Here is a 9228-nt window from a genome sequence, read left to right as displayed (position 1 = left end):
GCTGCAGTGGCTGGCCCTTCCTGCGATGTCCTGGCCTGGTCCCAAGACACAGAAGCAGGTCTGAACATCATCAGAACCACTCCTCTTGACGACAATTCAAGGGAAGTAATTTCCCCCTGAGTGGAAATAACAATAACTGCTGTTCTATTTACTCAAGGTTCTGCTGGTGAAATTGCTATCTTGGCCTCTTCCAGGTCAGAAGACTGTTAACTGTCTCTGAATCACGAAATTCTTTTTTAAAACCTCCATTCCATTCTTCAAATGTAGACACATTTTAGTTTTTGCTAAACATTATAAATCCATTTATAGCAATTGTGGTATTGTGGTTTTGAGGAGAGAGACACTCAACCTGGAAGAACAGTTATTCCAAGTGCATGACTGACTTGTTAACAGACTTAGCGTTCTAGTGTCATAAATGTACATGATTTCAGTAAGGTTAAGCCTTTCCTAAATGCTCTTTTAATGGCTTAGCACAGAAAACATTGACCTAAAGAGTCAGAGCTTATGCACTTCCTTCATTATGGGTGTTTAGGGTGACTTTTTAAATGGGGGTAACAATATATTTATATAATATTACTGAGCAAATAAACTCATTTCCTGGGAATGTGTGCATCTCGCAAGTTCCTGCCACTGAGCCCACACAGGGCACAACTCATAATGAATTTATCTACATTAAAGAAAGGATAAAGATCGGGAAAAATTTGTTCTCCGTTTACATACACGCTTAATAGAATCTACGGCTGCCTCTTGAAATACACATTTTAATACCGAAGGAGCATCCCACAAAACATCTACAGGAACATGAAACCTATGTTAGGAAGCAAAATTTGGCTGGACATGCTAAAGTGCCTAAATGTAGGGCTATGTGCAGACAGAAGAAAAACAACAATATATTATTGCTCTCTCAGCCCAAACAGAATATGCTCTACCTTATTTTCATGTTGATTTTGGCATGAACCGCAATATTCCCAAGTCATTTTGAAAGACAGTAATAGGAGAATTTGTGTTGACATTAGACCAGATAAAAAGTAAGGATAAAAAGCAGTAGCCAGAACTAATGTTTACTCTTGGCTATCGAAGCTTTGCTAATCTCAGCTAGCAACAGGCAATTCGCCTCGGAAACACATACTCTCTCTTAGTAAGTGGCAGAAGCTGGACAAATCTAGGGAAAGCAATAGGACACGTGAAGTGTTAACACAACTCCACACCGCGACATTTTAAGGAAGAGTGCAAATAAGTCCTATTGGGCAGTTCCTTCTTCAGCTTCTGGGATACCTGCAGTGTAGAATCTGCCCAGCCTTTGGAACAAGCTTTGGGAAGTAAAACACTTTTAAGGAATGTTTTTCCGGCTGGGCACGGTGGCTCACTCCTGTAATCTCAGCACTTTGGGAGGCCGAGGTGGGTGGATCACCTGAGGTCAGAAGTTCGAGACCAGCCTTGCCAACATGGTGAAAAACTGTCTCTACTAAAAATACAAAAAATTAGCAAGGTGTGGTGGCGGGAGCCTGCAATCCCAGCTACTGGGGAGGCTGAGGCAGGAGAATCGCTTGAACCTGAGAGGCGGAAGTTGCACTGAGTCGAGGTTGCACCATTGCACTCCAGCCTGGGCAACAAGAGTGAAACTCCATCTCGAGAAAAAAAAAAAAAAGAATGTTTTCCAAGGGAATCAACAAATGTGGCTTTAAGAGTAGAATTTTCTCCAAGCTGAGACTATGCTGTCTAAATTAGTTTCTTTGGTTGCTATTCAGAGATCTAAATTCAGGAGCCTAATGACATCTAGATTTTTCTTAGTAATTCAGAAGCCCTAAAGATAATATCAAGAATAAATAGGCATAATCACACATAGCTATGTCTACAACATCCCAGTCTAAATATATCAATGTATTGTACTGACAGTACCTAAAGGAAACTGCCAATTGCCTCCAAAACTCACCCAGACAGACATTGTTTCAAGTGACCTGGCTTTATGAGGATGTGGTCGGCTGAATAGCAGTATAATTGCACTGAGGTAATCATGGCCGATCCAAGAAACATTGCTATTCCCAGTGAAATTTCCATTGTCTGTCAATGTATGTGAAAAATAGAAACAATTATAGCAAGTTTTCTTAAAACTATATTTGTTCAATGTAATAAACAATTTTTAAATTTGAGATTATGCTATTCTATTTCTTGTATTAAAAAATCCTCTTCTTTAAAAAAAGATGGTTTGAAAAAGTTTTTATTGGTTTGCATTTTACATCTTTATTTGGCAAAATAATGATGTCTTATTTGACAATCTTGTGTCAGTTCTATTTTTATCTTTATAGTTTATTGGTTGATAAAATTTAAAAGCTCAGAAACTATTTCAAATGGTAGCTCTAATGACAAAAATTTGGCCTTTCACACTTTCCAAATTAAGCACAGGAAACAGTTTACAGAGCAGAAGAATGAACCTTTGTAAACTAGAGAGTTGCATACATATGTGTAAGAAAGTTTTGAAAAGTAAGCACTGTGCACATTAAAATAGTGAGATGACATTTTCCTTGTAAAAAAAAATTGGTAAAATTAAAAAGGAATAATAACACTGGTGCCAAAGTGGGTGAGAGGAACAGGGAGAGGAATAGGGATTCTCACACACCACAGATGGCAATAAAAACTGGAATGAGCGTACCAAACTTCTGTTTGTTATTGGTTATCAAGACATGTAATTCTGCAGTAGCTCCATAGATGTCTATAGGTAGGAACTGATTTCAAATAATTGTTATGGATATATCCAGTGACTGAGCTACTAAGAAGTTCTACTCAGAACTGTTCATATTATTAAAAAGATCAGAAAATATCCCAGTGTACTGCAACAGAGACCTACTTTAAAAAGTATGGTGTCCCTAAAATGGAATATTACACAGCATTAATATAATACAAAAATGTGTAATAATTTTGAAAAACTCTTACAATGTATTGTTAAATTTAAAAAATCATCATCAAAGCATTGAGTATAGTATGATCTATGAATAGATACGAAGAGAGAGAGGGAGATAGAAAGAGAGAGAGAGAAAGCTGAAAGTATATATTGCAAGATTGACAGCCAGGAGGTTAGACTAAAGCTTTTTTTTTTCCTACTTTTTTGTTGAGGAGTGCTATGGGTTGAATTGTGTCCCCAAAACAGATATGTTGAAGTCATAATCCCAAATATCTCAGAATGTGAGCTTATTTGGAAATAGGGTCATTAAGATGACATCATATTAGTGTAGGGAGGGCCCTTAGTCCAATATGACTGTTGTCCTTATTAAAAAAAAAAAGATGCGAAGACAGAAATATAAAGAAAAAAACCATGTGACAACAGAGGCATAGATTGGAGTGACACAGTTGCAAGCCGAGGGACGTCAAGGAACAATGGTCACCAACAGAAGTTAAGGAGAAGCATGGAAGGGTTTCAGAGGAAGCATGGCTGCTGGCTGCTTGATTTTGGACTCCAGCCTCCAACACTGAGAGAATAAATTGGTGTTGTTTTAAGCCACTCAGTTGGTGGTACTTTGTCACAGATGCCCTAGGAAACTAATGCAATGGCTTGCACATTTAGAAAAAACACAAAGGCACTATTTGATGAATTAGTGAAAAGGAGGGACCCATGTGACTACCACTGGAAGCCTCCCTTGTGACTCCTCCAAGCCCCCACATCTTCTTGCTTTCCCAAAGGTAATGACAATTACGGCTCCTTAGTTGTGTTTGTTAAAAAAACAGAAGAATTTCTTGACTTGAATCATATAGTATACACCTTTGTGTATGGCTTCTTTCACCCAATGTTATGCATCCATTTATTTCTGATGGATATTTAGGGCATTTGCAGTCTAGTGTTATTTTAAATAATTCTGAGTGTGAGTGGCTCTATGCCTTCTGAGGAGCTTAATCGGAAATGGCCAGCAGAGCCTGGCCTGGCCCTGGTAGGAAAACAAAAAAGGAAAGAAGAAGGTGCTGGCAGAGTTTTTGGATGCTTTCACAGAGGAAACCTTGACAACATAGGTGGCTGAGGCTCGGAGCTGCAGGACATCATTCAATCATGGTAACCAGGAGCTGCAAGGGAGGGGCCTCCATGCAGGGGTCTGGCGGCCTCTGAATATGTCCTGGGACTCCAGTCGAGCCCTTGGCAGCGGAGCTTCCAGAAAAGAGGCTTTTGGAGGGCCACCTCCGACCTTCCTACCTCAGCAGCTGCTCCCTTTCATTCCAAAGTCAGTTTGAGTTTAGAAACCGAAGAAGAGGAAGAAATGTAGGCTGGAGAGTTTCGGGAAGTAGAGGACCAGCAAGTTGATAGTTGAATTCTGGAATCAGAGATTGCTGAGTTAGATTCCACCACACTGTTTGTGCGTTGTTGGGCTGTGGATCTGTTTTAAACATCAGTTCCTTCTTAAGTTTAGGTTGGTGCAAAAGTTATTGCAGTTTTTGCCATTAATGACAGAAACCGCAATAACTTTTGCACCAACCTAATAAAATGGGATAGTTAATAGTATTTACCTTGGAAAGATGCTGTGTGGGATTAATAAGCTAATGCTAATAGGCATCAACAGATATTTCCCTAAGTAAGGACCAATAAATCTTAGGATTAAAAAAAAATTATATCAGAAACTTTCTTGTGCATATCTTTGGGTGCACATATGGATGCATTTCTATTGGTTATTCAATTGGGAATTGAATTAAACAGAATTCTCTGTTCTTATCCATTGTTTTATTTATCCCTGCACCAACACAACATATGCTAAATACTGTAGTTTAAATATTAGTCTGTGTATCTTGTAGAACAACGCTCTGTTTCTCAACAGTGACTCAGCAGTTTTTTGCCATTTCCATTTATATGCATTTTAGAGTCCCCTTGTCAAATTCTATTTTTAAAAAAGTCTTTTGTGCTTTTGGTTGGGATTGCATTAAATCTCCATATTCCTTGGAGAGAATTGACATTTTAATAATATTGAAAACTGCAATTAATTAATGTGTTAGATTATATTTTTAAAATTTTTGCTTACCTATTTTTTAAAATAGCAATTACTATCAAAGATTCAAAGCAACTGGAACTCTCACACATTGCTGTGAGGAATGCAAAGTGATAAAACTACACTGGAAGAGAGTGTAGCAGAGTAAGCAATTTGACAGTAATAAGAAAAATATTAAATAGTAATAGTTATTAGAAAATGGTATCATCAGCAACACATATTAGTATATAGTTTTAGTAATCTTTATTGGCATTAATAGCATTTATTATTTGATATAAGAAAAGCAAACATTTAGAAATGGGGTGATAGTTGCACTAGCTCGTTCTTTGGTAAGGGTTAGTTTTATGAAGCACGTTACCTACAACTTCAAGCTATATAAAGCCCATTGAAAGCAGTCTAAAAAATAAGGACAGTTATTGCCTCACATAACAACAATTTCAAAGTAGCATGGTTCTAGTGCTCACTAATTTAGTGTTTACCTCAGTGAAAACCACTGAGGCTATCTATTCACCATTTCAGCTCTACAGTGAAAGACCTGGGCAGGGCTATGGGACTAGCCTTCCATGGGTACATACAGTGAAGATGTCACCTTCAAATCTATGGGCTAAAGTTGGTATGTTATCATTGATTATTTTGTCAATGACTATTAAGTTCATTAATTTGTTATTTGATTATAAAATTTTTATAGTTGGGGCAAAAGGCTAATTTCCTATACCATATTTCAAACATGTTGTATATTAGAGGGGTATATTAGTCTATATTAGTTCATTCTTTCATTGCTATAAAGAATGACCTGAGACTGGGTAATTTGTAAAGAAAAGAGATTTAATTGGCTCATGGTTCTGCAGGCTGTCCAGGAAGCATGGCTGGGGAGGCCTCAGGAAACTTACAATTATGGCGGAAGGTGAAGAGGAAGAAGGTACATCTTACATGGCCAGAGCAGTAGGAAGAGAGAGAGTAGGGAGGTGCCATAGACTTTTGAACAACCAGATCTCATGAGAACTCACTTACTATCAGGAGAACATCAAGGGGGACATCCATCCCCAGGATCCAGTTGCCTCCCACCAGGCCCCACCACCAACATTGGAGATTACAATTCGACATGAGATTCGGGTGAGGACACAGATCCAAACCATATCAAGTGGGGAGAAACACTCTAAATATTAATAACTTGAATTCATGCCCAATTAAATGAAAATTTCAAGTTTAATTTCTGGATGTAGTGTTGAGCAAATTTTCCTCCAACCTGAGTGGCTTGTCACAAAACTGGAGTCCAAAGACTAGGCTTAAAATAATATTTAACACCTTAATAAATGGCACTGATTCATGCTGTAGTCACAGAGGGATAATCTTATTTCAAGTTAGAAGTCTTCCTTGAAATAAGTAGTCTATTCACTATGAGAAAAATCCCAAGATGACAGAAAGAGTTTCATTAATATATTTTTGGTGAAAGCTATTAGAGATATATCTAGAAAGTTTTTGCACTAGCATTTAACATTTCTGTGTGAAAATTAAAAATAAAATATTTTCTTATAAAGATTTTTGTGCTAGAATTGTGTTTTTAAAAGTTCCCCCTGAGCTCACAAATGTTAAATACCTGTTACCGACACCAATATTATAAACCCACACAAACAACCTCGCAGACACACTAAGTAGAAAACGGATAAAGGCGTGTATAACTCTCCATCTCTGTTTCTCTCTCTCTCCCTGCCTGTCTCTTTCTCTCTCACACACATATACACATACACACACACATGCATTTTCCTTATTTGTCATACTTCCTCAGAGATGTACTGTCACATTTCCCAGGAATTAGCAGAGAGTTTTACCTCTGATATGGTTTGGCTGCGTCCTCACCCAAATCTCATCTTGAATTGTAGCTCCCATAATCTCCACGTGTTGTGGGAGGGATCCGATGGGAGGTAATTGAATCATGGGGGTGGGTTTTCCTGTGTTGTTCTGGTGATAGTGAATAAGTCTCATGAGATCTGATGGTTTTATAAAGGGCAGTTCCCCTGCACACACTCGCTTGCTTGCTGCCATGGAAGACGTGCCTTTGCACCTCCTTCACTTTCTGCCATGATTGTGAGGCCTCCCCAGCTATGTGGAACTGTGAGTCCATTAAACCTCTTTTTCTTGATAAATTACCCAGTCTCGGGTATTTCTTCATAGCAGTATGAAAATGGACTAATACAACCTCCAACTTTCTTCAATGTAGCCCAATGGATGCTACATTCCCCTGACTCCCTCTCTTGCTTTCCTTAATTCTACTTTTTCCTCTCCTTTTGGACATTTCATGGAACTCCCATCTCACTAAGAACATTTTCCCTCTACTTTGTTATTCTTGGGTCTTAGGCTTTAGGATCTCCCACATTCCCCACTTAGGAAGACAAGGAGATATGCAAAGTCTGACAGAAGTCATAGGACTTCAGACCCAGAGGACAAGAAAGAATTTCCCATGCCTTTCACTGCTTCTTTAGGTGCTTTCCTTTCTCCCAGGAATAGGAAGGGAATTCTATCCACCCTGATGGATATTGTTGGTCCATCATCTATCTGGTCATGATGCTGGATGTGGCTGTGTCACTCACTCTGGTCCTACACTAGGTCATAGATGAAGACATGTTCAGTTAACTCCAGGTTATGACTGTGCATCAGTTAACATTCTTTCTGCAGCTCAGAAGTGATCCATCCACTCTCAGTCAAGTCAGCTTCACCTTCTTCTATATATAATTTCAATCAAATGTCACAAGGCAACAAGAATCAGCATTAAACCCATGAAAAGCAAGATTGATCATTGCTCATGGTTGGAGAAGAAGACACTAAATGCTCTAAACACTAAGCTGAACACTCCACATCTACCATTATACCTAAGGAGCCAATACTATTATTGATTGTCCATATTTTAAAGATGATGAAGAATAAAACTATAGAAGGTGTTTGCTTAAGCTTATGAAGCTGTTTAAGTAGTTTAGAATTCAAATGCTCTTCTGCTTGCAGGATCTGCCTCCAACATTTTTTAGGGATCAGGGCAAAATTATAGGTGGAGACTCATATTCCATAGGTCTGAATACTTAGCAAATCAAACAAAAAAATTTTGAGCAAAATATCTCATATACTCTATGTTAGTCTGTTTTTGCATTGCTGTAAAGAAATACCTGAGACTGGGTAATTTATAAGGAAAGGGTTGTTTTGGTTCATGATTCCGCAGGCTGTACACAAAGCATAGTGCCAGCATCTGCTTCTGGTGAGGCCTCAGGAGGGTTGCAATCGTGGCAGAAGGCTAAGGGGAGCCAGCATGTCACATAGCAAGAGTGGGAGCAAGAGAGAGAGAAGGGGGCGTTCCCAGACTCTTTTAAGCAACCAGATTTCACATGAACTAACTGAGGTGAGAACTCACTTACATCCAAGGAGATGGTGCTAAACCATTCATGAGGGATCTACTCCCATGATTCAATGCCTCCAACCAAACCCCACCTCCAACATTGGGAATCACATTTCAACATGAGATTTGGAGGGGACAAACATCCAAACCATATCATACTCTTACCTTGACAAATATTGCTTCATAAAAACCTGGCCTTCTTAATTGGAAACTGACCTAAATTGGAAGGCCATCTTCCAATTTAGATCTCTTGGACTCCTGGATATTCTCAGGAACGAAGCCCACCTCTCGTCTTCTCAGTCCTGCCTCTGTCTTGCATCACAAGTGGCCACATGCACACAGATGGAAGTGCTTCTCAATCTCTAATTGCATTTGAGTCACAAAGGCCTGAGGCCCTGAGCAGGGGCCAGTGTTACTGAGGTCAGAGGGAGGTGATCTCTGTCAGATTCTAAAGCCTATGTTTGCAGCAAGCATCATTGCTCTCTTACTGCCCCAGAAGGTTCAGAAGAAAAATAATACAGAGAATATAAACTTGTCAGGGCTTTATGAACCTGGTCAAGAAAATTAGTACATGTAGAAAAGTTTCCTGGAAAGAAGCTCAAACAATGAGGTCAGTTTTTAAGAGATTTTGTTTCTTTCTCCAAAACTATCCAAGCCCTGCTGTCTCTGTAGAATACATTATTTTATCGCCTTATGTAAATCATTATTTGTTGGCTTAAATGACATGGAGCGAGTGGAAATACTAAAAATACTTTGTAACTTAGCTCTAAGGAATTGCGGATAAAATACTGGCTTCTCAGCTTGGGTTCTGGCTCTAGCCCTATTGTCAACAAGCCACCGTGGGTAAGTCACTTAACCTCACTATGCCTGATTTTACTCATCTAG

The 9228-nt window shown here is 38.9% G+C and overlaps 1 long non-coding RNA gene across 1 annotated transcript; it reads right to left on the bottom strand.

Annotated features, from left to right (window-relative positions):
- Positions 1 to 3761: 3761 nt before the first annotated feature.
- LINC02509 (long intergenic non-protein coding RNA 2509) lies at positions 3762 to 8660 on the bottom strand. Its single transcript, NR_149104.1, has 2 exons — positions 8509 to 8660; positions 3762 to 4295 (listed from the first exon to the last, which is right to left on the bottom strand). It is a non-coding gene; the product is annotated as a long intergenic non-protein coding RNA 2509 (long non-coding RNA).
- Between the last annotated feature and the right edge of the window lie 568 nt (positions 8661 to 9228).

Source organism: Homo sapiens, chromosome 4 (genome assembly GCF_000001405.40).
Source record: "Homo sapiens chromosome 4, GRCh38.p14 Primary Assembly".
Lineage (NCBI taxonomy): Eukaryota > Metazoa > Chordata > Mammalia > Primates > Hominidae > Homo > Homo sapiens.
This window is presented reverse-complemented; position numbering and strand designations above follow the sequence as displayed.